This window comes from Homo sapiens, chromosome 5 (genome assembly GCF_000001405.40).
Source record: "Homo sapiens chromosome 5, GRCh38.p14 Primary Assembly".
NCBI lineage: Eukaryota > Metazoa > Chordata > Mammalia > Primates > Hominidae > Homo > Homo sapiens.
This window is the reverse complement of record NC_000005.10, coordinates 158,128,298-158,156,042: the sequence shown is the minus strand read 5'-3', so window position 1 is coordinate 158,156,042 and position 27,745 is coordinate 158,128,298. Positions and strand designations below refer to the sequence as shown.

The window sequence follows — 27,745 nt, the reverse complement described above, 5'->3', positions numbered from 1 at the left end:
AAAGCAACAAAACACTCCTTCCTTGCCTTCAGCATTTCACAGACCACAATTCTCCCGGGAATGGACCCCTTCATTGCAGTAACATGTATTGGCTGAACTGAAGAGATGATTTATGTCAATTAGGTCTCTTTGGTGGCAAGCAACAGAAATTGACTTAAGGGGTAAAAAAGCAGTTCTTGGAAGTCTACAATGTGGCTGGTAGAATAAAAGGTAAAGTTGGTTAACGAAGCATAAGAAGGACAAGAACGAGTCAGCTCGGGGATGTTGGTCACCCATGGCGTTCTCTCAAGAATGCTACTATCAGATAACTCTGCTTTCTTCTGTCTCTATGTGTCTCTGCTCAAGATCCAAATGCTGGGAGAAAACCTGGCTTGTCCTGTTCTGGGCCATACATTTACCCCGGGGATCAAAGAGCAGTAACTATTGCCAGAAGAATGGTGTTTATGTATGTAGGTGGTATGAGTGTGTGTGGATATGTATGTGTGTATGCCATGTGCATATGTGTGTATTCATGGATGCATCTATATGTGGTATATGTATAGGTGAGTCTATGTGTGTGAGACTGTATGTATGTGCACTGTGAGTTTATATGTGCATGTGTTTGTGCACTTGTGCAGGGGAGGAATATGCTGGAAAGAAAAAGTCGATAGTATCAGATATTTTTTGGTAACATCTCTAAAATGGTTTTGAATTTCAGTAACATTCCTTACCAGCTATGTAACTAGCTACACAACCTATTCTTTCTAAGCTTTAGTTACTCTCCTTTGCCAAGTGGGAATACTGATACTTGCCTTGCAGGGATGTTCTGAGGACAAGACAATGCATGCACGCAGTAAGCAGTATGACTGGCATGATAACCTCAATACCTAGGAGTTAATATTCTTACTATCTTATTATCTCTGAGAAAGACTATGATGTGCATAAATAGGTCAAAAGCGAGTCAAAAAAAAAAAGTCCTATTCGATCTCATTCTTCCTGCCCCAAGAGCATCCACATTAGGAAAGTTACTCCCTTCCCTGTTCCCAGGAGGCGGTTCCCTCACTCTCAACTCAGAGACTTTACTAACGCACTTCTTTCTGCCTGGAATACCATCCTTTCTTACAATCTCACACCTAAATGCTCCCCTTCATTTGGATTAGGCTTGAACTCATCATCTTCTTAAAGCCTTCATGGACTCCTCTTAAAGCCTCATGGGTCCCCAGCTATCTGCTCCTTTGAATAAGAACAACCCCTAGAGGAGAGTGTGTGACTAGCTCCAGTGGTTGTGATTCCCTGAGGTGCTGTGTTGAGAAGGATTCTGAGACCATATCCAGAATCATGAGGAAAGAGTGCCGTAAAGAATTAGAGATGTCTGGCAGGGGATGCAAGAAGTTGGTGCTGTGAGCTACCTGGCACCTGCTTCTGTTGCTGCCATGCTAGGCTTTGATTGTATACTGTACTGTGCTGTTCACTAAATGCTTCAAGGGAGCTCTTTCCTTGAAGCCAAGGACCATGTCTCATGCTTTTTAATTTATGCCTCATTCTAACTGGTGTGGTGCAACACAAGGCAGGGGATCAATCAAGGCTGGGGGAGGACTGATTCATTCCTTGACTGGTAGCCAAGAAGCATGAGGTCATGTACTGAAAACTTGGGAGCATCTAAGGAAGCTGAACAAATGCAATCCCACAACCTTCCCAGTAGGGAACATGGGACTATGGCAAGATCATGGCTTTTGGAGTCAGGAAAAAACTGGGTTAGTCTCCAGTTCACCAATTAATTGAGCGACCTTAATGGCTAGGTCATGTAACCATACTGAATCTGTTTCCTTGTCCAAAAAAAGTGTGTGTGTGTGTGTGTGTGTGTGTGTGTGTGTGTGTGTGTGTTGGGGGGTGGGGGAGCATAATATCCACATAACGGGGTCATTGAGAGGATCAGAAAAGATCAAACAGATAAAAGGCTTGGCCCAGATCTTGGCAGAGAAGCAGCATTCGTTATATCTGAGTTTCATTTAAAAGATTAATAATGAATTTAAGAAGAATTCAGCAAGTACTAATAATATCATTGTCATTGTCATTATAATATAGCAATCTGGTTTCCTAGGAAGACAGTCCACTCTAACTCTTCCTCAGATCATGTCTTTGGGTGGCATTTGTGAGGAATCCTCTCTTGTCATTCCACTTGGCCTCCAGCAAGCCAGGAGGAATGCTCTGTGCTCTCAATGCCTGGTTTGCAGGTAAATTGGAGCTCTTCCCACCAGCACACAGGTTCTCTTCATAAAGGAGGAGTGGGGGCTGAAAAGTGCAGACACACTTCCCACTGAATCAAGCCTGTATTTCTCAGGCGAGAGCTAAGCATATTTACACGTGTGGAACATCAGCCAGGACAAACAGAGACCCTGGATTACCTTTGCTTATGTAATTTTCTGGGGAAATCCAGGGCATTAAAATCACTAACTACCCAGCATCCGTTGAAATACAGCCTCCTTTTAGAGCCAAAGTCAATCTAGGACCAACTATACATTCCAACCCATAGATGGGGCATTTATTTTTAACAAGAGCTACCATTTATTGAGTGCTTACTATGTGTTAGGTACTATGGTAAGAACTTAATAGACATAGTCATACTTGATCCTCACAGCAATCCCAAGAGGTAGTACAAACTATCACATCTCCCCAAATCTATGTAAAACTCAGTCATTATCTGAAACACTGTGTTTCAGCAGTAATTAAAATTCACAGGGATGTGGCTGACCTCTGGGCTGTATCTCTGCCCTTCCAAATAATCAATGCAATCACTAGGAGTCCAGTGAGGAAAGATGCTCAAAGGTAAGACTCCGATTCTTGTTTCAGAGCCCCCAGAGATTTTCTCATAGAACATCCGTTAGCCCTGGCAGGCTTTGCTGGTGTAAATCACCACCCGGCACTCAATGAGAATATAGTTATTATAACAGTTGCCACATCGCATGATGCTCATGCCATTCGGAAATGTAGATCTAATTAGCTCTAAGCTGTAGAAGATTTGAGTATGGTAGTTTCATTTTGGCTTAATGCTTGGTGCCTGGTGTAAAATCTGAATTTATTACTCTTTTTTTTTAATCATTTCTGCATGGCTCAACCAGTCGTATCAAAACTACTGCATGTTATAGACTTTAAAAAGTGGTTCCCTGTAGGCATTTTAAGGTATAGGATCTATTATGGGAAGATATATACTTGACAGCATTCTGTTTATCACTCAGTTCTGCTACATTGTTCATGAACCCAGTGAAAGATGTTCACAGTAGTAAGTAACACTTTATTCCAGGAAGAAAAAAACACAAGGCGACTTCCTTGAGTGAGTACCAGAATCAGTGTGTGGTGCACTGATTACAGGACTAACGGGCGAATGTGTCGCCTTCTCCATCAAGACCCTGCAAAACAAGGGAGACTGCTTTAGTGCCTCATATTCCTCTAGATTTTATCCAAAAATATTTTCCCATTAAAAGTACTATGTCTCAGCAGTGGATAATCAATGTTGCAATTCTGAACATTTTTAAGAACAAAACTCAGGTAGCATCATCCGTCCTCCCCCAGGCCCTTAGACAGTTACTTGGACACGGGAATGGGAAGCATCCCTGCTATTCTTTCCCACATTTGTTTCTTTCCTCTATTTGTGCCTCAATTAGTTCAGCTTTTCCCCTAGCTGTTGAAGGGAACCTGGCCAAGAAAGTCCCATAAAAAGTCCCATGTGGGTTAAGTCAAGCACTTCCAGGAGTGACCACAGACACAACTTCCTACCTCCACTGCATGCTGGCTCACTTGGCCTCCATCTCCTGGATTTCTCTCATTATTTCTGCATTGCTTCCTGGTCTCCTAGGCTGTGGTTTTGGTCAACCTCTCTGCTTGGCCCTCAATCTGGGTTCCCTCAGGTGCTCCCCTTACGATTGCTCTGCAACCCCTGGGCTACGTCCAGCCCATCCACCTGGAACCTAAACCTAGGCCTGGTGCCCCCAAGACCCTGACTCACTGGGCTGGGGTACAGTTAATATTTTTGAAAAGAGGAGGTTTGGCCGGGCACAGTGGCTCATGCCTGTAATCCTAGCACTTTGGGAGGCTGAGGCAAGAGGATCACTTGAGGTCAGGAGTTCAAGACCATCCTGGCCCACATGGCAAAACCCCGTACGTACTAAAAATGCAAAAATTAGCTTGGTGTAGTGGTGGGCACTGTAATCCCAGCTACTCAGGAGGCTGAGGCAGGAGAATTGCTTGAACCCGACAGGGGCGGTGGGGGGAGGCTGCAGTGAGCTGAGATGGTACCACTGCACTCCAGCCTGGGCAACAGAGCGAGGAAGGAAGGGAGGGAGGGAGGGAGGGAGAGAGGGAGGGAGGGATTGATTGATTTTAGGTAAAAAGCAAAGTGAACTGAGGCAGTGGGTCCCCCTCGATTCCTGTGTATATCTTCACCCAGCCCTATATAGTACAGGGTCTTTGATACGGGGTCTTCTCTATTGTGACTCATAAAACTCACCACCACCATGTATGGAGCCCCATCCTTCAGAATGGCTGAGTGCAGAATTGGGAAAGTGTCATGCAGAAGCCGACTCAAAGGCCTGACCCCACTGACCTACCAAACCAGCCAACCCAGGTACTACCTGCCTCCAGAGCTCTTCTTATGTGCAGTAATTCTATTGTTTAAACCACTTTCCAATGGCTCTTCTGTGACTTGCAGCTGAAAGAATCCTGACTAAGCCACTAGAAATATGAAAATCTACTAATCTCAAAGTATGCAAATAGGTAGAGAAGAAAGAACATGGCCTTGAGACTTGGACCTAGAAGTACATCTTGGCTCCCTCACTTAGAAGGCTGATTTCATTTATTGATCTGTCTCTGAACTGGACTGTAACCACTTGAGGGCAGGGAGTATGTCTTGCTGTTTTTATTTGGAGAGAGACTATATTAGAGTCTATTACAAACATAAACATCTTGATTAGAATCCAGACTCTGCCACTTATTAGTCATGTGGCCTTGAGCAAGTCATGTAATCTAACTATAAACAAAAAAATAAAATAAGGAAAATAGTACCTTTATGGACTTGCTGTTGAGATGGACTCAGGTAATCCATGCAGTAAACTCCTTAGCATAGTGCCCAGCACATTGTAAGAATTATTTAAAAGGCAGTTAGTAGTATTTTATATTTTGTGTATTTACCACCCACCTAGGATACACCCTGGCATTTAACAGAAACTTGTCAAATGAGTAAATGAATGATGGCACCTTTGCTTATGTTGCTTCTGGTGTTCCAGGGACGTAAATCTTGTAGGCTTGAGACACTGAAAGCAAGCTGAGCTTATGATGTGGCATAATTTTTAGAATCACAGACTCTAAAAGCTTTTCAGCTGCTTTGTATCAAGCTTGATGGTTCCTTCTCCATATTCAAGAATCTCTAGGTAAGATCTGCACAAAAGCAATGTGTCACCTTCTTAGGAAACATTCGCTTCTTCATCTCGTTCCAGAGGACACAGGGCAGAGATGCCTGCCACTTTTATGTCTGGTGCCAACTTTCCAAAGCTGAAAGCCCCTCTCTGATTTCTGGGGCTGACCCTGCCTATGGTCTCTGCATCCCCTCTGCAGCTCCCAACCTTGGGAAGCTGTGGCAGTGGCTGGTTGGTGGTGAGCAGGAAGCACAGGACACGCTGAGTGCTCAGGGTTAAAAGTGATGGCGTAACACAGGAACACCTCAGACCAAGAAGCACCATCAGTGCCAGGATGGCATTCGGGCTTCCAATATGTAGTCACTCATCAGAGATTTCTGAACATCAACCACATGTCAAGCACTTATAGGGGGTGCTGTGGAATGCCACTCGCATCCCTCCTTCACGATTGGCTCATTCATTCCCACAGCCACTGGGAGTATTGGCTACCCAAGCCTTTAAGCTGAGTCCCTCACCAAGAATTCCTCTCACTAGAAGAAAGCTGCCTTGGTCCAAGATTATGCCTCTTCTCCAGTAGCAGCCCAGATCCAGTGACTGTTCATTTCTGGGCACAAAGGTCTAGCCCCTTGCCTAAATTCAGGGCAACCCAAGGGCTATCCCAGACTGTAGGCTGCAGACGCACTTGCAGTTACCACTCAGTTCTACAGCTACTTCTGCTCAATCCTGCATCCTCACATCCTCACAGATGGTACTCCTGCAGACGTGCTCAGGAAATCTCCTGCACTCTAGTCACAAGTCTCATTTCCAGGAAATATACCCAACCAAGACAGAATCATTTTAGGCATCATAGATTTAGCAATGAATAAAACATAATTTTCATGGCACTATGTTCTTTTGGTGAAAGGTAGGGGTGAAAGAATAACAGGAACGAATAAAAATATGTGAGGTCATGATAAATGCTACAAAGACAAGTAAAACAAATAAAGAAGAGAAAATGAAAGGGGTACTATTTGCAAACACCTCTTTTGGGCAGGCCTCTTTCATATGGGGCATTTGGGCAGAGACCTGAGCGAAGTGAGTGAAGCATGTCAATATCTGAGGAAAGAATATTTTGGCCAAAGGTAAAAGCAAGAGGAAGGCCCTGAGCAGAAGGTGTGCTTAGTACATTTGCAGAATAGTGAGGAGGCCAGATTGACTGGACTAAGAGAGGGGAAGAAAAAGTTGTATTTACTCTGTCTTTAAATTTCCATTCTAACTGCCATGTGAAAAATAGATTAGGGCCCAGGGCAAGGGTGGCAGCATAAAGACCAGCTAGGAGGTTAATGCAGTCATCAGGCCAGAAATAACCAAAGAACCTGAGCATCTTGTTATATGCAAACATGTAAGTTATGCAAAAAAAACGCACCCACCTATGTATATATTCACCCCCGCCCCCACCCATGATCAAATGTCCAGGTCCCCCTGCAACCTTCATTTGAGAAGACTGACAGCTGGAGGGGACTGTTTTCGTCAGAAGGGAGTTGTCTGGTTAGGTGTTTAACCAGAGATATAATGCTATAAAAGTGGTAAGAAGTAGTCAGATTCCAGATATATATTTTAAGATAGTGGCAATATTTGGTGATGATTAGATATGGGAAAGGAAGGAAGGAAGGAAGGAAGGAAGGAAGGAAGGGAGGGAGGGAGGGAGGGAGGGAGGGAGGGAGGAAGGGAGGGAGGGAGGGGAAGGGGAGGGAGGGAGGGAGGGAGGGAGGAAGGAGAAAGAGAGGAAGGAATGGAGGGAGGGAGAAAGGGAGAGAGGGAGAGAGAAAGGGAGAGAGGGAGGGAGAAAGGAAGCAGGGAAGGTGTGAGAAAGAGAGGAAGGGAGGAAGGGAGGGAGGGAGAAAGGAAGAGAAGGAAAGAGGGAGGGAGAGAGGGAGAGAGGGAGGGAAGGAGAAAGAAGGGAAGGAGGGAAGAAGGGAAGGAGGGAAGAAGGGAAGGAGGGAAGAAGGGAAGGAGGGAAGAAGGGAAGGAGGGAGAGAGGGAGGGAGGGAGGGAAGAAGGAAGGAAGGAAGGAAGGAAGGAAGGAAGGAAGGGCTCGCTCCAAGATTTTATCTAAGCAGCTAAAATAAAAGATACTATGGGTAGAAATAGGTTTGAGAGATAAAATTCAGTTGCTCAATTGTAAGCATGTTAAGTTTGAGACATCTATTGGACAATGAAATGGAGCTTTGAATAGGCAGTTGGCAGCCTAGAGTTCAGAAGAGAGAGGTCCAAGCTGAAGATATAAATTTGGTTATTATCAGCAGAAAGATGGATTTAAAGCTGTGAAACCAATGAGATCATCAAGGGCGCGAGTGTAGACAAAGACGTCAGGGCACTAGGGCACTCCAGTCATATTTAGAAACCAAGGTGATTAGGAGCCAAGGAAGGCCACTGAGTAGAACAGCCCTGAGGTAGGAGGAAACCCAAGTGAGTATGGTGTTTTGGAAGCCAAGTGAAGAAGGTATAATAAGAAAAAGAGAGAGATCAACTATTTGTAGGTTGAGTAAGATGCAGCCTATGAATTGATGTTTGGGCTTGGCAATATGGAATTAAATCACCAACGACTTTAGAAAGAATTGTTTGTCAGTAGTGAAAATGAAAGCCTGAATGGAACAGTTCTTGAGAGAATGACAGGAGAGGAACTCCAAGCAAGTGACAAGATTGCCAGGAGTTCTATGCTGAGAAAGGATTCAGAAGTTAAGTCCAAGTTCAAAGAGTGCTGTGCTTGCTTAGTGATGGCTGCCTTGAGTGCAGATAGGGAAACAGTGGTATAGAGAAACAGTGGAAATAGTGGTACAGGTAGGGAAATAGGACACATATCTACCATTCTTGTTCCAGGACATATTGTGGTTCATTCCATCTTTTCTATACACCTTTTTATGGTAACAACCCACTTGGGATACTCATTAACAGAGAATTTGACATTGTTCCAATAAATTCCTGGATTTTGTTAGCATGCAAATATTCTTGAATAAGAAATGATGTTTTATATTTACTAACTGGATAGTTCCAACTAGTTCCGACCAGTGTGCTATGTAGAGCAATTTATGAGAAACCTCAGCATCCTGAAAGAACTCTGGATGTCTAAAAAAGATATCACATCTCTCTGCTTAACTTAATAAACAAGGGAGCTTAAAAGGGTAGAAAAATAAACATTTGGCTATGCATTGCATACTTGCATTTCCTATCTCCCTTTTCCCTGGGAGACAAGACCAGATCATTCAGATTGCTACAACAGATATAGCTCTTTTGTACAGTTATTCTGTTTTCATTGAAGGTCAGATGAGGCTGTGTTATCAAATGGCCATGATACAGTGAGAGAAACTAGTGGGAATGGGAAGTGCACAAAAATATTAAAATTTAGGTAATTCAGTGGCCACCTGATTCCCAATAAAACCCACACTTGCTTCCAGTCTTGTGTTTTATCTTAGTTTCCAAAAGCAGTTCTTTCATACTCACTCCACTGGAGAAATATTTCCTAGAAAGACACTTGCTATAGTTTTAAAAACGTAATCTCCCTTTAAATTTACATGTTTGCACTCTAGCACACAACTTCTCAGAACTGGAAAGTGTCTTAAGAGTTATCTTGTGCAAACATCTACCCGGTGTAGATGAATGTAGGTAAATGAATCCTTGGTGCACTATCCCAAACAGATGGTTCTCAGCTCTTCAGTTAAACACCTCTGGTGATGGACGGCTCATTTCTGGAGAAACGAGTTACATCCAGCTGTCAGCCTTCCGAAAAGAGAGCAGAAGGGGGGCCTGGACATTAAGGTTATTAGGGTGATATACACATAGGTAGGTAGGTATGTTTTGTCACATACTCACAGGTTTGCATAACAAGAGCTCAGATTCTTTGGTTATCTGGGATTGGTTTATTTTGATGCTTCTCCAGTCTGAGAGACCCCCAAGACAGAGCAAACTGTCATCTGTCAATTAAACACCCTCCAACTATGCCCAGACTTAAGAGGCTGCCATTAAAATAAACTGAGGGCTGTCTGATTTTTAAATCTCTTTTGTTCCTGGGCTAGCAGAGAGCCATGTGGTGGGAGGGTGGAGGGACAACTGGAATAATGACCTCCTAGTTCTTTAATTACAGCACCAATAATCCCCTTTATATTCTGATGTTTTGTAACATGTGTATGGTTTTGTCTTATTTCATCTTAAAGGCCAAACAAAAGCTGACTCCAATTGCTAAAAACACACAAGGCCCCAGCCACAGGCCTCAAGCAAGGAAACAAACAAATAGGAGCATGGGAACCCAATTTCTGCGATTAAGTATGACAATGGTGTAGAGTCCATATGTCTCAGGAAAAAGGGGACATTTAAAAAGTCTCCACAGTGCTCTATGAAATCAGGAACACCCAGGACCCATGCCATTGTTCATTCTTCAGTGGAACATCATATGGACTCTGTCCTTCCCTTCAACTTAAAGATGGATGGGCAATTGTTTAACCCCAGTGTTTTTAATTAATTAGGTCTCTAACACCAAAGCTTTAAGTGAAGTTGCTTAATTTAGACTTTGCTTTGTGGGCTATAGTACTCATTGCTATTTTTTATTCATTTTTATTTTCCATATGACTCAGCCAGTCAAGGAGAACAAGGCTGTGAAATTTTACAAACCAGTTCCCCAGAGATAACAGAAAACGTCAGATTTATTGTCACGGGGGAACGATTTTCTAACTTGGGCCTAGGTATGTCCAGAGCAAGAGCAAAAAGTAAAACACATATTTTGGCTTTTTTCACCTGTCGAGAGATGGGGTAAGAATGTGTTTTAGGTCATCTTTGGGTTCTAAATGCTTACTTACAGACTCGAGATTCAAACTGGCATTCTCTTTCATTCTAGAAAAGAAAGTTTGGTAAGGAGTGATTTTTTTTTTAAGGCCAGGCAATCTGGTTGTATCCATCATTACCCTTACTTAATGACCTGCTTGTAAGTTAGCAGCTGCTGTTGCCAAGGAGAGGTACCTGGTTTCTAACAGCAGTACCTCATTGCTAGCTGGGGTGAGGGAATGAGAGGACTCAATGGCCAGCCTCAGGGCCATGTGGATGAGTGGACCCAGGTTAAAAAGAATGTGCTTTTTCTCAGTTACCTAGAAGGACTGTAAGTGTCTCCCTTGGAAGAAACTGAGAAAAAAAAAAAAAAAAAAAAAAAGGACCAGTCAAGTACAGAGTCATCCTAAAACTGGACAAAGCCTTTTGGAAAAAAAAAAAAAAAAAAAAAAAGCAGGGTTAAAAGGAAAGTATTTCTAGAGATCACATGTTCTTGGAAAAGAACATAAAATACGATTTTAGAACAAAATGCCAATTTACTCATTTCTAGTGAAAAATCTAATCACTGAGCAAAAAGAAAATATTTGTGCAAGTATGATCTGGGCATTCTCTTCCTGCTGTCAAGTTGAACGGAAAGCCAGATGTAGGATCAGAGCGGGGCTTGGTGCTCTGGGATCAGCAGGGAAAGGCCAGATAAATGGGATACTTAACAGTGACAAAGATATGCCAACTGGACCATAAATGTTCTAAGTCCTTCAGCAGGAACACTTTACATTCATGGCCATTTTAGCCCTCACCTGGCACTAGCACCAAAAATAAAGAGATACAAAACCAAAATCAAGCTTCTTTCACTGGCCTTTGAGTAGTCCATAGAGAGTGTGGCTGCTTCCTTCCAGGGTGATCTGGAAGGAGGAGAATAGCCAAGTTCACAGGTATAAGCACTGACCCGTATATTCAGAACACTAAAGACACCTGAGATGTAGACTAAAAGTGCAAGTCTAGAAACTCATTAATTGAAGTGCCAGTCCTTTAATTTATGATTAAAAAAAACTAATTACCTTCAAAGGATGATAGAAGCAATTCATTATCTTTAAAACCAGTAAATAAAGGAAGAGAATCAAGCATTTATCCTATATCTCCTATATGAACAATACCACGGGGTAATCAAAAAGTAGATGAGGGGAAGCATCCATTTATGTTTTCCAGCTAATAAATGACAAGGAAATGATAGCATTAGATATCACCATCTGGCAATTTCCAGTGATTTAATGAATCCAAGCACTGAGCATTGGCTAATGTTAACATTTCTTAAAAAGACCAAAAATCAGATAGTGTGTGCCTCTTAGTAAAAGAACTCAATGCCACCTACCAAATCAATTGAATCTGAATCTAACCAAGTATCCCAATGTAGCTCCCAATTTGCAGAAGATAAAGAGGAACATGTTGGACTGTACAATGAGTATGCAATCAGCAATATCTATATTGTAGGAAAACTATAGGTCAAAAGGTAAATTGTAAGAAAAAGAAAAGAAAGGATGAGGAAACTGTACATTAAAAGAGACTTGAAAGACGTGTTAATTTTCTTAATGCACAAGACTAAAGTAGAGTGTCTAGGGAGGCACGCCTGGATAATAAAATTGTAATGGATGCAAAGAAGTGATTACTAGGAAAGCCAGGATAGGATTACTTTTGGGGAAAGTGAAGGGGTAAGATTGCATAGGGCCACCTAGAGAGCATTCTAGAATGACTGGTGGGGTTTTAAACCTTGACTTTGATGGTAGTTATAAGAGTATTGCCTTATAACTCATCAAACTATACAAGTATTTTGTGTGACTTTTTGTATCCGCATTTGATGTAACAATGAAAGGTTGGCAGAATGAGCAACCTATTCTTTTTCTGTTTTGTTTTGTTTTTATGGGTACCTGAGACTGAGAAGGACTTTACACATTATAAGAGGTTATGCCAATCATTCCAACACTGCCAAATGTCAAGATATATTAACAGCTATGTAATGGGCTGTGTCCATTTTAATCTGGTGATTTGGCTCTGTCCTTGACACCTCTTAGGGCTACTTTGGCCCAAAAGCAATGTTTCTAAGAGGTCCTCCATGAGTACAAGCCCAATAGCAATAGTAGGCCTTATTTCCTAGTGGTGGCACATAGGACTGGTAGCTCGAGATGGCTGAAGTCATTCTCTTTAACAGTCATCCCCTCTGTATACCAGACTGTGGTGGTAGTGTGGCTATTTGGAATGGGAGGGTGACTTTAGCATCCAGCATATTGTCAAGATTTTAAAAAATGATCTTATCAAATCTGGTCAAGGAATCACACACCATTTAGGACTCCTTTTCTCAGTTATAACCAAGTGGCAAAGCTACAAACAGGTCATAAAACCCTTTCAGGGCATGCAGTGGGGTGGGGGAGATGGTTGCTAAAAGGATCCCAAAAGACGGGAGAGATAGGATGACTTCAGCTATATCCATTTTTACAGATCCCTACCCAGCCTTCCTCCACTGCTGCACAGGCCTTGGCTGCATATGTGTCTCCCAGGCCCAGTAAAATAAAAGCCCAGCACTTTCCACAGATGAGCCCATCTCATTCCCAGGCAGCTTGCAACCGGTGCCTGGATACGGGAGAACTGATGACTTGAAAGGAGAAGTGAAGACATCAGCCTCAATCCCACAAGCTCTACCTACTTGGTATTGTAGGTCCCTGCCCCCAAATCATTTCTATTATTTTTAATAATGATGATGATAAATTATTTTTGAAGTTCATGGCTCAAGAGCTCTTGGGACTGGCTTATTTTAAATTGGCCAATAAAGTGCCTGAGTCAAGGCAGATTGTGAGGGGATGCAGAGATTTGGGAGCATGGAGCATGGGAGAAGAGGGAGCTATTGGAAAAATCTTCAAGCACAAAGCACTTTATAAGTCTTCAAAGCACTTTCAAAGTCAATCTGATATGTAACTAAAAGCTTACGAAACAGCACATACATATCCTTTACCTAGACCACATTCACTCTGGGCATATAAAATCCAAGATGCGAAGTTTTATGGTAACTGAAACCCATAATGGGTCGGCTTGTCAGGAAGCTGCTGAAATAGGATTTTTGATAACCTAAGCCAGTGGCACCCTACAGCATAGACAATGGCTTTCCCCACCCAAGACCCTGTAAGGAAATTTGGACTTCATCCCTTCAGGGGACAAGATCCATGGACTCTGTGAAAATAATCCCTGTGATAGAAGACATCATGTCCAATATCCTTAGCTTACCAATGGGAAACTAGAGTCCAAGGAGGAGATATACTGGTTTAAGGTCACTGAAATAGATTCTAATTCTATCCTCCTCTTCTTCCTTGATGACAAAGTCCCAATTTTGTTTGGGTAATCACTTGCCATACAGACGTGTACTCAGAAAAGGGGCCCTGGACCACTCCCAGAAGGAATGAATCATGACAAATCCATGCCAATTATAGTGGTCTCATTGTCCATAATAGGGATTGACTTAGTCATGGATATGGAACCAAATGCGGTCAATGAGATCTGACGGTAGTCTGCTGGAGAATTTTCAGGAAATACTTTCCTTAATTAAAAACAAGAAGAAAAGGAAATACATGGAACAAAACACCTCTGTACTTCATGGAATACTATATTGCCTGCATATGACAGCTGAAACTTCTATAGCCACAGTATAATCATGACAGGAAGGCTAAGTAGAAAGATGGCAGGCCAGGTTCTCGATGAGTTCATGAAGCTGCTACTCTGGACTTCTTGTCATTTGAGCTAATATATCCTGTATTGTTTAAGCCATGTTTTGTTGTACTTTTAGCCTCTTGTAACCTAAAGCATCTTAGTTGATAGAATCACACAGAAAGTTTGTGGCAGAGCTGGGACTAGAATACAAATGTCATAACTCCCAGGTCAGTGAAAGTCTCCGTTTAAGGGACTGGTGAAGTCTGTGTGCCGTTCCATCAGTCAGAGGCAGTCTAGGTCATGCTGCAGTAAGAAGTAACTCCCAAATTTCAGTGGCTTACAAGAGCAAGACTCTGTTTCTTGCTCATGGAACATGTCCATCAGGGTTGGCTAAAGTTCTGCTTCGGGAACCGAGACTGATAGAGAAACTCTCCTGAAATATTGCTCGTCTTGTGACAAAAAGAAAAAGAGAGAATGGCAAACCATGAACTGGCTCCTAAAACTTTAATTCAGAAATGACAGTATCACTTTCACTCTCATTTCATCAACCAGAGCAAGTCACATAGTCCCAGAACTTCAATGAGAAAAGGGAGAACAATTTCCTTATAAAACACCACATTTAGTCTGCATTTAATGCTTCTAAGAAAAAGCTAAGCACCATAGAGGTAACTAAAATGGCTGCTAAATTGTTTTGAAAACACCCCTGAACTTTAGGATATTTTATGAAAACAGAAAAACTGCCATGCCCTTTTATAATTAACTCTTCTTTAAAATAGCTTTTCATCATAGAATGATTCATTAAATTGTTTTCTAAAACAGTAAAGGTTTAAAAAATAAAATGAAATGCCTTGCTTTCATAATCCCATCCACTATAGATAAATCACTGATAAATTGGGACATGTTCTTATCCTTTTCTATGTATAGTCACATGTCTGTACATGTATGTGTGTATTTATCCATATCTACACACACATATATATGGGACTTATGACCAAAAAATCATTTTATAAAATTATACATAATTTTTTACACTTTGCTTTGATCCCTATATGAATATTTTTGCTTCTGAATATATAGAGAGTTACTTCTTCCTTTTTAACAATTACATAGTATTTTACTTTGATAATGTATTATGAATACATCATTTATATCATAATCTCTCCAAGGAATGAATATTTAGGTCATTCTAGTTTTCACCATCACAAAAAATTCTATATTGGATAATCCTTTTATATAAAAATATAGATCTTTTCACACTTCTCTGAATATATCTGTAGAATAAATCCCAAGAAGTAGAATTGCTGGGAGAAGAAATATGCTCATTCAAAATGTTGATAGATATTGCCAAATCATCCTTCAAAAAGCTTATACCAATTGTACCATTGGACTGTTGGACCCATTGAATCCAGCCAACAGTGTGTCAGGTGGTGATCATTTCAGACAAAAGTATGTGCTGAGATCTTTATATGTAGTCAAGATAAAAGACACAAAAGACATATTTATAATGGTCCCTCTTCTCAATGAGCTTAAAAGGAGGGAGGGAGAGAGAAGAGACAAGTGAAAATACTAAAAACACATAAATCACTGAGATAGTGTAAGAAACTGGATCAGGCAGACACTGAGACAGCTGCAAAGAAGCAGATAAGCTAAGCTAAGGGAACATTAGATGACACAAAGGGTGTCCCACATAGGGACCGGGGAGGCTTCCTGAAAAGGAGCAATGCCATTAGAGGAGAGGAGCTGAAGCTCGGAAGCGAGCTGGTGTAGATGAGGTTGATGGCAGTACTGGGAGGAAAGGGGATAGCTTTCTCTGGGCTGGTGAGCTCACAGGATTGGCATGTTGAGCTAATGACATTAGGGTCAGAGCCTCTACTTGAGGCCAAGGTTTTACATAACCATCTGTCTTGGGTCATTTTACTGCAAACTGTCTTAGCAACAGAGGATTGGTATGAACAGCCAACATAAAGAAGGGAGACTAGAAGAGTTCTGCTCTCCGTATCTGAGTTCCTAAGCTATAAACCCCCAACATAGCAAAGCCATTCTATCCCCTGCAGTAAAAACTAGATCAATCAACCCAAAGAATATGTCTCAATCCCTGAAGGGTCTAGATTCTTAGGGTCTTCACAAGTACCTTAACACTTAGCTCTAGCCAGACGTGGTGGCTCACGCCTATAATCCCAGCATTTTGGGAGATGGAGGAGGGCAGATCACTTGAGCCCTGGAGATCAAGACCAGCTTGGGCAACATGGCGAAACCCCATCTCTACCAAAAAATACAAAAATTAGCCAGGCATGGTGGTGTGCGCCTGTAGTTCCAGCTATTCAGGAGGCTGAGGTAGGAGAATGACCTGAGCCCTGGAAGTCGAGGCTGCAGTAAGTGGTGGTTGTACCACTGCACTCCAGCCTGGGTGAAAAAGTGAGACCTTGTCTCAAAAACAAAAACAAACAAACAAACAAAACACTTAGCTTTCAGTAGAATCTAAAACAAATAAACTATGGGGTTATTATTAGTCTCCTTGTAAGCTTAGATTTTCAGGAGAAAAAAACAGAACCAACTTCAAGCTTAGAGGTCAGTATGCAAATGCATGGTACAAATGCTACCACACGCCCCTTCCAAGCTCTTGACATTGCCAGTTCATCACAACACTCTTCCACTAGGCCCAGAAACAGCCTCAGAATTCTCAACACAGCCTTCCCAGCACCCACTACCAATCAATTGGAATTGGCACTGCTATTGAAGCCCATTTGTCATCCCTGGCCTACAGCAGCAGAGAGTCATTTCCTCGCCAAGCATTCTTTCCCATAGGATCACCTATTGCCTCACCAAGCATGAGTCGTTCTCAGAAGCCGTAGGCATTGAGACCTCACACAGGCCTGGATGAGATCTCAAGGCCTATGGCCTTGAGTTCACCTTGTTGAGTGTTCTCCATCACCCCCCACCACACCTACCACAGCATCCTCTCCTCCAAACCCCAGCATTCTCATAAAAGCATTTCCCATGAAGGTATTCGCCTATCATCTGTTTTCCTGCCACCTAAAGATAGTTACTTCCATTTTTCTTTCAATAAATATTTGCTGAGAGCCTACTGTGTGTCAGGACATGTTCTACACACTGGTGACGCAGGAACAAACAACAGATAAAGATCCCTGCCCTGTGGAGCTTAAATTAGAGGGTAAAGACAGGCCATAAGCAAGGTAAACAAGTAAAATGCGCAGCAGGCTAGCTGAAGCTAAATGTCAACAAGAACCCAAAGAAGCAGGAAAGGGGGATAGGGAGTATTGGGAGGTGGGAAATGGATTAAAATTTTTTAAAGGGAAGACTTTACTGGGGACATAAAATTCGAGTAAAGACCTGAAGAAGGTGAAGGTGGAGGTGAAAGTGAAGGATATGCCATGCAGATATCCGGATATGCCATGAATTCTAGAGAGAGGAGGCAGGAGCAGGTCAGGAACAGGGAAGAGGCCAATCTAAGTGGACAATTTGGGGAGGACAGGAGTGGAGGTCAGAGTAAAGGATCTTAATCAGGATCTTGAAGGATCAAGATCATAAAGGGTTTTATTGTGGGAGCCAAAAGAAGGATCACTGACATCCATGGTTGCTTCCTTCACCAAGACTCTATTCATTATGGGAGACAATAAAGACATTATTACTGGCAATTTATTCTAAATATAACAGATCTGACAAGTTTATAAAGGGAAGACAGAAAGTGCCAGGGAGATATAATAAGCCAACTTGATGCCATCTGGTGATCAGGGAAGGCTTCATGGAAGAGGAAACATCTAAGCTGAGTCCTGAAGTATAAGAAAGACATTGTCCAGCAAAGAAGGAGAAAGAAAGTGCCGAGCATGTGTTCAAGGAAGCTGGAGAGGCTAAGGGAAGAGCCCTGTCCTCAGTTTTACCTTTTTGTGAAAAGATCTTTCTGACTGCCATGTCACTGTTCATGCTAATCGCTGACATTCTTGAATGAAAGTTGACCTTGCTTCTTTTCTCATTAACTGTCTTGAAAGCATGCTTTTCATTTCTGCTCAATGGGGCTACTTCCCCCCCATTCATTCTTGTGAAACAAATCCTTGCCCACTGTTCATCTGTCTGGGAACAGGTAAGTCCCCAGAGATGGTTTGGTAAATCAGGGCACGACAAGTATGTATGAGAATTCTCTCGTAGAGTTAGAAAAAGAAAAATCTGGTCTCCTCTCTTTGCTTCAGGCTTTTTCCATACAGAAACTCAACAGATCAAAACCATTTCAAACTGGGATGAAACCATCTGGCTCCCAGAATCACACATTGTTTTACAAGGCACAATGGCTGAAATGGCCTTTTTCTGTCTTGGTGGAAATGAACCAGACTTTTCCCATTTGCTATTCATGGTCATTACACGAAGGTTAATTAATTCATTTGTAACCCGTGTAGACAGCATGTAAGGTGTCACAGGTGATCTGGAACATCAAAGACAACATCCCTTCCTTCTGCCTGAAATCATTTTGAGCCCTCAGTTTTTCTCAGAAAGCAATGTTTACAAATCTCCAGGCAGCAGGAATTTGATGGTGGTGTTTGGTTGTGCTTTTTGTATTCTGAAGTTCCTGGTAGATTCCGTACTCTAAATTAGGCCTCAAAAATATTTCTTATTAAAAATTTATACAGCTCATGACAGCCTCTTTCGAGAACATAACCCCTAACTAATTCATGTTCACTTACCCTGCAGTTTTCTATTTATAATATTTTACAATTTCTGTGTATTTGTATTATAAATTATTAAATGACATCAAGGTTTTTATTTTGATGAGAGAATTTTTGATGAATTTGACAGTGTAATTACTTCAGATCCCACTCTGGATTGCTGAGAAAATATTTGATTTTATTTACCTCGATGAATAATTAAAGAGTGCAAGTGGTGGGCTTCCTTGCTGTGCCTTCTAGCTTCTTCGGTTTGTTTCTTGCTAATTAAAATAGTGATGCTCATGTGTGTGGTGGCTTAGAGAAATAAATTACCAATGGGGTGGGGGCAGTATTGTAGGATAAGACTTTAGAAAACTACAAGGAAAAAGAGAGGAAGGAGGGAAACAAAAATTTTGCTGTGTTTCATTTCATTTTTCTTGCAAGAGCAAGTAGAGGGAAGAGCGATCTCCTTGTTTATTTAGCGATCTGCCCCCTCCAACTCCAGGAACTTCTTACCTGCTAGCCTCCTCAGCCCAAACAGCAGAAACCATGAATGGTAACAGCAACTGGCTCTGGGAAGAACACAACACCCGGAAGATAACTGATTGCCAGATGTGCTATCCTATTGGTTCCACGGATTACATCTTTCTATGGTTTCCCTTTGGTTATCATAAAACCCTGGAAGTAGGCACAAGGTCAACTTTAATATTCTTACTTGAGGATGACAAAGTTGAGGTTCAGTTTGATGGATGGCCTTGACCTACCTCACTCACAATTATGAGGACCCAGGTTTCCTGAAACCTCATCCACTGGGATTAAGAAGTCAATGAACAATTTTTTTCTCACCACCTGATCTTAAGCTATCCAAAAGAATTGACATGTTATTAGGCACTCAGTATATTTACCAATAAAATTTATATATATACATTTTTGCCAAAAAATATATATATATATATATAAAATATATAAATGCTAAAGCACTGTGACACCAGTAGAAATGGTACTAAACTGTAGGTCAGCAGTAGCCCTAAATTCAAAGTCTAATCAGGGTGATGATGGAAAAATCACTGTTCTACTCTAGGCCTCAGCTCCCTTACCCAAAAACAGAGATAATATTGGTAACCTATCTCATAAAGTTAAAAATGTTTAAGGAGATGGTGCAGAGGAAAAATTCAGTAAGTCCTAGCTATTGCTATTGTTAGATCATACACAGAGTTAAATATGGTACCAGGGGGCCACCAACCATCTCTTAGCCTTCTTTGCATCCCCAGCTCCCAACATAATGCTTGGCATATTGTCGATGCTCATTTCAAGTTTATTCAATAAATGAGTTGGCTGGTTGGCTGAGTGGCTACTCTGTGACCATACTGAAAGCTCCCAATTGCATCATCATAAGGTCCTGGGAGGAAGACGCTAGCTTGTTCTTTTCCACCACTCAGGATATTGCTTGAACACAGATGATCCTAACAAATGCCTGCTGATTTTTACTGGAATGAAATACTCAGTATCATCCACACAGAGCTGCCTTGGGTTTGGCAGTACCTTTTCCCAGGAGTGTTGCCTGAGGCCAGGGCTGTAAAAATCCTGCAAGTGCTGAGGCTGTCTTGGTAAAGAACAGGGCATTGTTTGGGGCCAGCACCCCTGGTGAGCAAGGTCTTTTCCAATCAAAGGCTCAGTCACTGGCGTGTGTTCCACAAGCCCCTGGGGCCCAGCTCTCATTGTGTGTTGGGGCCACTGGGGGCGGGGGACTCCTACCTTTCAGACTGCATCGATTAGCTGCTCCATCTGCCACTCTGCAAACAAGCAGCATGGCTCTCCATTGGATGAAAATGTCACCCATGGTAACAGATCCTCACAGTTGGCGCCTGACCACAGGACCCTCCGAAGGGGAATAATCAGATCCTGAAAAGCAGTCAGCCCACCCCAAGCTAAATGCAAAATGAAAAATAAATGTCTATTCTAATCTCCTCCCTCCCTTCTCAACCCTGACTCCAATGAGATGGCCCCAGAGCACAAGGCGTGATTTGCAAGCTGCACTATCACAGAAGGGGACTGGTGGCCCCCAAGGCAGATTGCTCGGTCCTGAGTATAGTCTGTGGAAAGTGTAACTGGGAGACCTCCCCCATATGGTTCTGAAGCTACAGATGCAAAAAAACCTTGCTCCAGCCACTCCAAACTCCAGTTCTTTCCATGGAGAGATTCTGTCTCTTTCTCTCTTTCTACCTCTCTCCCTCCCTCTCTCCTTCCCCATCCCCTCTTTCCTTCCCTATCCCCTCTTTCCTTCCCCATCCCCTTTCTCCTGCCCCATCCCCTCTCTCCTTCCCTATCCCCTCTTTCCTTCCCCATCTCCTTTCTCCTGCCCCATCCCCTCTCTCCTCCAGATTGTGTTCTCTACTTAAGACCCTGTTCCTCATCCCTTTCTCCTGAGTTATTCCTACTCTTCTTTCAGACCTCAGCTTAAACATCTTTTGCTGTGGGGATTCTGACCTGAACACTCTCCATAAACTACATAAGGTGGCCCTGATACTATTCTTCCTTTACACTATCTGCTCTCCCTGTCACACTTGGCTGTCTGTCCTGCTAGGCTGAAAGCACCCAGAAAGCAAGAATCTCATTTGTCACACTGTTATATTCTCAGCAGCTAGCCTAGTGCCTGGCACATAGCAGATGCTCAATAACTATTTATTACATTCCTAAACAAACATTGCCAGGTGCAAAGCAATCCTTATAGGGCTTCTGGACATCATCAGACACTAAAGATGTCCAAGCCATGAGTTTATTTGTCAGATTTCAGTTATTGAACTCACCTAAGTCAAAAGTGAAGCAATCTGTCAGAAGGGCAGTGGACTAGCTTACAAAACTGAAGGAAAAGCTCTGTGGACAAGGGCATTTCCACAGAAATATGGGACAAGGGACTCTATATGTCCTTTTTCTCCTCTCCTTCTCTTTCCTCTCTCAATTCTTCTCCCTACCTTCTTCCCCTTCACTTCTTATCCCTGCTTGTCACTGATATCAGCTTCATTCTCTCAGACTTCAAGAGCAGCTCTGGAGGCCAGGATCAGTGGCTCACACCTGTAACTCCAGCACTTTCGGAGGCTGAGGTGGGCTGATCACCTGAGATCAGGAGTTCAAGACCAGCCTGGCCAACATAGAGAAACCCCCATCTCTACTAAAAACACAAAAATTAGCTGGGCCTGGTGGCAGGTGCCTGTAATCTCAGCTACTTGGGAGGCTGAGGCATGAGAATCGCTTGAACCCAGGAGGCAGAGGTTTCAGTGAGCCAAGATCACACCACTGCACTCCAGCCTGAGTGACAAGAGTAAAACTCCATCTCAAAAAAAAAAAAAAAAAAACAAACAAACAAAAAAAAAAACAGCTCTGGAATCACATTCTTACCACTTTATGATCAGAGAAAAAATTAGGATTTCCCGGTCCCATTTTCAGGTGTGAAATCACAGGGAAGAATTCTATTGGCCTGGCCTAGGTCACATGCCAATCCCTAGAACAATCACTGTGTTCAAAGGATAGAATGTTATGATAGACCCGGCTTAGATCATGTGCCTTCCCCCAGGTTGAGGCAGGCAGAGTACCCGGGAGGACACCATCCACTAGCCCCAGGTGCAGGACAGGGGTGCTGAGCCAACAAAAACAATAGCCACCTACACGTGGGATGAACCCCTGTTCTCAAGGACCCAAAAGAAAGTAGAGTGGGCCTGAGAGAAATCCAACAACAGACCTAAGAGAAATCCAATGACTAGGTCTTTGAATTCTTTATATTAAGCTTCTTTAAAAATTGAGGTTTAGTAGTGTATAATTTTGCCCTATTTTCTAGTGTTCACACGTTTGTTTCAGGAATGCTTATACCATCTACCAGTTATACTAAAGCTCTGCAAAGACAGAGACCAGAAATCTGACCCAGTCCTCATTTCTTCCTGCCTATGTTATTGCATGCACTTCCTGAATGATTCATTTCAGTCTCTCCTTGGTAGAGTCCATCCCAAGGCCATTACCCACCCCATCTTCCTAAAATCACAGTTGCCTGGTTTCCTATTATTATTCAAATGCACTAAATCTCTTCTTTCCCATCCACTTAAACTTCTAGGTCTGGATTTCAAATCTATTCCTACCTAAGAGTTAATAACAGCATTTACTGTGTTCCAGTCTTTGTCTAGGAGCATTACAGGCCATTATCTCGTTAAAGCCTATAAAATAGCTACTGTTTATCATTATCGGAGCACCTACTGTAGTCCAACACTACGCTCAACATTTTCCATGTGTACCACATTTAATCTCATTTATCCACATGTTAACTTTTTGACACAGTCCTGTTTTACAGATGGTTAAACTGAAACTTAGATAGATAGGGTATTTCACCCTCAGTCACACAGCAAATAAGGGGCCAAGCTAGAAATCAAGCTACTGTCTGTCTCACTCCAAAATCTGATATCTTTCTTCTAGGCTATGCTGTCTCCTAACTCCACCCTTCTTCTGCTGTTCCCTGTGAACAACTCCTCTGTGGTCCAGCTGTCCCCTCTACCCTCTGACGTTGACCCATCTACTCAATTTCCTTTTTTGCCAGCCAATGCTCTTCTCCCAAAAGGCATTTTTGGAACCTCTCACATGCATTCAGGGGAATATATCTCCCAATTTGCAGTTCTCATAGATCCTGAGATGTCAGCATCACCAATATTCCAAGTATCTTTTCCTTCTTTCTATATTAGTTTCTCTCTTCCCTCGCTCTGTTCATTATACATAATCCATGCACATAGCAGGGGATAATAAGTTGGGCATGACAAAACAAAATATATTCTCTACATGAGTGGCTCTCAACTAGGGGCCATTTTGTTTGCTCAGGGAACATTCAACAGTGTCTGGAGACATTTCTGATTGTTACAACTGGAGGCAGGGATACTACTGGCATCCATTGGGTAGAATCCAGGGATGCTGCTACACATCCTGCAATGCACAGGACCACCCCCCCACAACAGGGAATGCTCTAGTCCAAAATGTCAGTCATGCACAGTTGAGAAGCCCTGATCTACATGGATAAGGTAAACTTAAAGTTGCAACTAGACCTTTTAACTTTTCATTTTAGAGCCTGAACTGTGCAACTTAATCTTGGATTCCAGAGATACATGAGGTCCTTGACCTTTTTTAAGCCAGGAGGCACATCTTTATTCTGTGGACACTTGATGGTGTGAAACTAGCAGGCTGCCAAGACATGCAAAGAGGCATTTTTCTTTTTTTTTTTTTTTTCTTTTTTAGACAGAGTCACACTTTGTCACCCAGGCTGGAGTGCGGTGGCACTATCTTGGCTCTTGGCTCACTGCAACCTCCACCTCCCAGGATCAAGCGATTTTCATGCCTCAGCCTCCCAAGATTACAGGTACATGACACCACACCCAGATAATTTTGTATTTTAGTAGAGGTGGAGTTTCACCATGTTGGCCAGGCTGGTCTTGAACTTCTGACCTCAAGTGTTCCACCTGCCTCAACTTCCCAAAGTGCTGGGATTACAGGCATGAGCCACCACGCCCGGCCTCAGCATCTCTTATAGACAGTGTGGTCTGGTGAGGTTTAGAGTATTATCACAATCATGCTTCCTGTTGTCAGTTCCCAAGTCTGCCACTTTCTAGTCATCTCCTTAGACAATTTACTTAATCTTTTTGAATCTTAGTTTCCTCATCTGTCACATGGGTATAACACACCTAAAAATGATAATCCAACGAAAGCACACAACACTCTACTTTGCTCAGGGGTAACATTAGCTACTCTTTTATTTATGTCACAAGAAGCAATGGAGACTTATCATACAGTTATAACTGTGAGTTATTTCATTTTTGATAAATGCACTGGCCATTATTATTTGAACTTTGACTAATCCACAGCTATATGCATCCGCTTTTGTGTAAATGAGCATTGCCCCAGGTATAGAGCTGCAGAGGCACAGAAGGGAGGGCGTGTTCCGGCCAAGGTGAGATGCTTGGCACAGAAAGAGGTTAAAGTGCATAGATATGGGAGAATGAGGTCAGTGGAGCTCAGCCATAGGTTGAGGACAGGTTACAAAAGGCCTGGCTGAGGAGTTGAAACTTGGTTCCTCAGGCATCAGAGATCAATGGAGACTTTCAGCACAGAAGTGGCCTATCAGGTCTGTCTTTTGGGAAGAACACTGTAATAGAACAGTGCAGGTTGCTCACTTCCTTCGTTGTAAACCCAAACCATGGTTCTTCAAGTTCGAGTGCAATAACTTTGGAATAACAAGGTATCAGTCATCTCAATTACCACCCATAGTACTATAAATGAGTGCCATCTTTCTGAAAAGCAGTTTGGTGCCTTAGATGTCTTAAAATACGCATGCCCTGTTGTCCTGGAAATTCCACTTCTAGGACTCTATCCTGAGGAAATTATGAAAAACGTACAAAATATTTATGTACAAGACAGCTCATTTTTAGCATTGTTTGTAAGAGTGAAAAGTTGAAAACCCAAAATGTTCAATACAAATTAACTGGTTAAGTAAATTAAGATACAATGATTACTATGCAGGCATTAAAGCTACATTATTGATGTGGAGAAACAGGTTGCAAAACAGTACATAGTGTGTGATACTTTTTTAAAGTACTTACACTGACACAAACACATACACACACACTTGTTTCTATAAGTTACAAATGTCTTTATGTTTCATCTATTTCTATTAATTTATCCTAAGGAATTAATAAAGGCGGTAATAGCAATGTATACACAGGTGTGTGTATATATACATAAATCCATATATATACACAGAAATAGTATAAAAGAGTATATACCAAGCTATTAATGGAACCTTCTATAAAATATGATAGATTATTTTATTTTCTTCTTTTTGCTTTTCCAAATTTTCAGATATTTCTAATGGGAACATTTACAATATTTATCATAAGAAATTTTTAATTTAAAAAAATAAAGGAAAGGAAAGTTCATCCCCTACAATTAAGCCCAAAAGAATTTTATAAAATTTCAGATCACGTTGCAATTTTTAACCATTAGAAGGTGATGGGCCATGCCATACTTTCAAAATTGTTGTCAATTTTTCTCAGATTTCATTATATTTTAAATTTGGTGTATACTGAATTTCATAGATACTGAGCTGCCATTATCTGTTCAGCTGCATTCTAAGTGATGTGAGACTACAAGGAAAATGTCACCTATATGACTCCTTTCCTCAAATTACCTGTAGTCCATCTAGGATCAACAATACTTGTGAAAGAGAAACTAGGACTAATTCAAGGCCGCTCCTGATAAAGTGTCAAATTATAAGAGAAAGCTGCTGAATTGTATAGAGGTTCAGCGAAGGAGAAAATGACTATATATCAGAATGGTCAGGAAAATCTTCACATAAAAAATAGATGGAATCAAAGGCAGAAAGGCAGCAAGGATAAAGAGGTTTCAGATGCAGCAAGAGGCCAGTGAAGCTTAAGCACCGAGTTCTTGCTGAAGGCTGCACATAGTGGGCACAATTTGGAGAGGTTTCTAAACACTGAGGTCAGGAATTTGGACAATGAAGTCTTTGTAATAAGCTCAGGGTCTGTCTAAACATAATGAAGAGGTGGATGATTTTAAAATATATGAAGAAGACATTTGATATGGTGTGGCTCTGTATCCCCACCAAATCTCATCTTGAATTGTAATCTCCATATGTTGAGGGAAAGAGGTGATTGGATCATGGGGGTGGTTTCCCCCATGCTGTTCTCATGATAGTGAATGAGTTCTTACGACATCTGTTAGATTTTTTTGTTTTTTTGTTTGTTTCTTTGTTTTTTGAGATGGAGTCTTGCTCTGTTGCCCAGGCTGGTGGCACCATCTCTGCTCACTGCAACCTCTGCCTCCTGGGTTCAAGTGATCCTCCTGCCTCAGCCTCCCGAGTAACTGGGATTACAGGCACCTGCCACCACACCTGGCTAATTTTTTTTATTTTTAGTAGAGACAGGGTTTCACCATGTTGGCAGGCTGGTCTCGAACTCCTGACCTCATGATCCACCTGCCTCGGCCTCCCAAAGAGCTGGGATTACAGGCGTGAGCCACCGCACCCGGCCTATCTTTTAGTTTTATAAGGGGCTCTTCCCCCTTCTTTCTTCTCTCTCTCTCTCTCACCTGCTGCCTCCCATCTGCCATGATTGTAAGTTTCCTGAGGCCTCCCCAGCCATGCGGAACACTGACTCAATTAAACCTCTTTCCTTTATCAATTACCCAGTCTCGGGTAATATCTTTACAGCAGTGTGAAAGTGGACTAATAAAACATTGATAACTCAAGGATTAATTGCCTAGAAACTACCTGGAAAAAGCAAGTAAATACAAAGAGGAAGAACATAATAAGCTCTTTTAAACAAGTCCCCAAAACCCACTCTAAAAATATGTTTTTGGAAACATATTTTGAAAAAGGGGTAATGGTGACTTCTTCAGCAGGAAGCAGGCTTTAAAAATCCCAAGGAAGTGGCAGGAGTTGAATGGAGATAAGGAAAGGGAAGCTCACGCTGACAAATGGTGGTTGAGAATTTGGAATGAAACCCCAAGTAAGGAAAGCTTGTTTCAGTCCCCAAAGTGGGAGTTCTCTAATGAGTGAAATTCATTATCTTAAACTTTGGGCTATGATGTGTAATTGCTAACCTCTGCTGCTTTGGTTCAAGGTTCCTTTCAGTGAAATATATTGTTTGCCATCAAAGCTGATGTGGATTAGGAGCTGAGCATGTGCCCTCCCTCTTAGGTTATATTAATATGCCAAAATCAATAATATGCCATAGCTTTCAAAAGTAGTAATAAAACACCCTAAAATATTCCCAGAATATGTCTATAAATTATTTGTTCAATGTACTTATGTTAAAAAGGTTGTCAGTTACAATGCTCTGGAAGACTCTAAAATTACAAGCCATCGTATTTGTATTTGATAAAGCTCTTGCTGTTTTGGGTCAGAGGAGGTTATGCTGTGGGAAAAAAATCATTATTTTCCCTAATAAATAAATTACTTGGCTATATTTCATGTATCACTCAGGCCAGCCAGTATTGAAGGTTTAAATAATAAATAACAAATAGCTCCATTCATTTATTAATCATAATGCATCACTTGTATGTGAGTATGTATCTGTTGGTGTATATGTGTGCTTGTGTGTGAGTGTCTTGAGTATATGAGATTTCTTTTAGACTCTTGTGGGTGACACTAAACAGTAGTCATCTGAAAGAATGAAA

General features: G+C 41.8%; 2 annotated features.

Annotated features, from left to right (window-relative positions):
- Window positions 19,801–20,300: an enhancer, noted in NCBI's record as "NANOG-H3K4me1 hESC enhancer chr5:157562751-157563250 (GRCh37/hg19 assembly coordinates)". NCBI's record gives its function as "activates a minimal SCP1, AML or CMV promoter by ChIP-STARR-seq in naive H9 embryonic stem cells {active_cell/tissue: H9 hESC(naive)}" and the evidence as "EXISTENCE:reporter gene assay evidence [ECO:0000049][PMID:30033119]".
- Window positions 20,301–20,802: an enhancer, noted in NCBI's record as "NANOG-H3K4me1 hESC enhancer chr5:157562249-157562750 (GRCh37/hg19 assembly coordinates)". NCBI's record gives its function as "activates a minimal SCP1, AML or CMV promoter by ChIP-STARR-seq in naive H9 embryonic stem cells {active_cell/tissue: H9 hESC(naive)}" and the evidence as "EXISTENCE:reporter gene assay evidence [ECO:0000049][PMID:30033119]".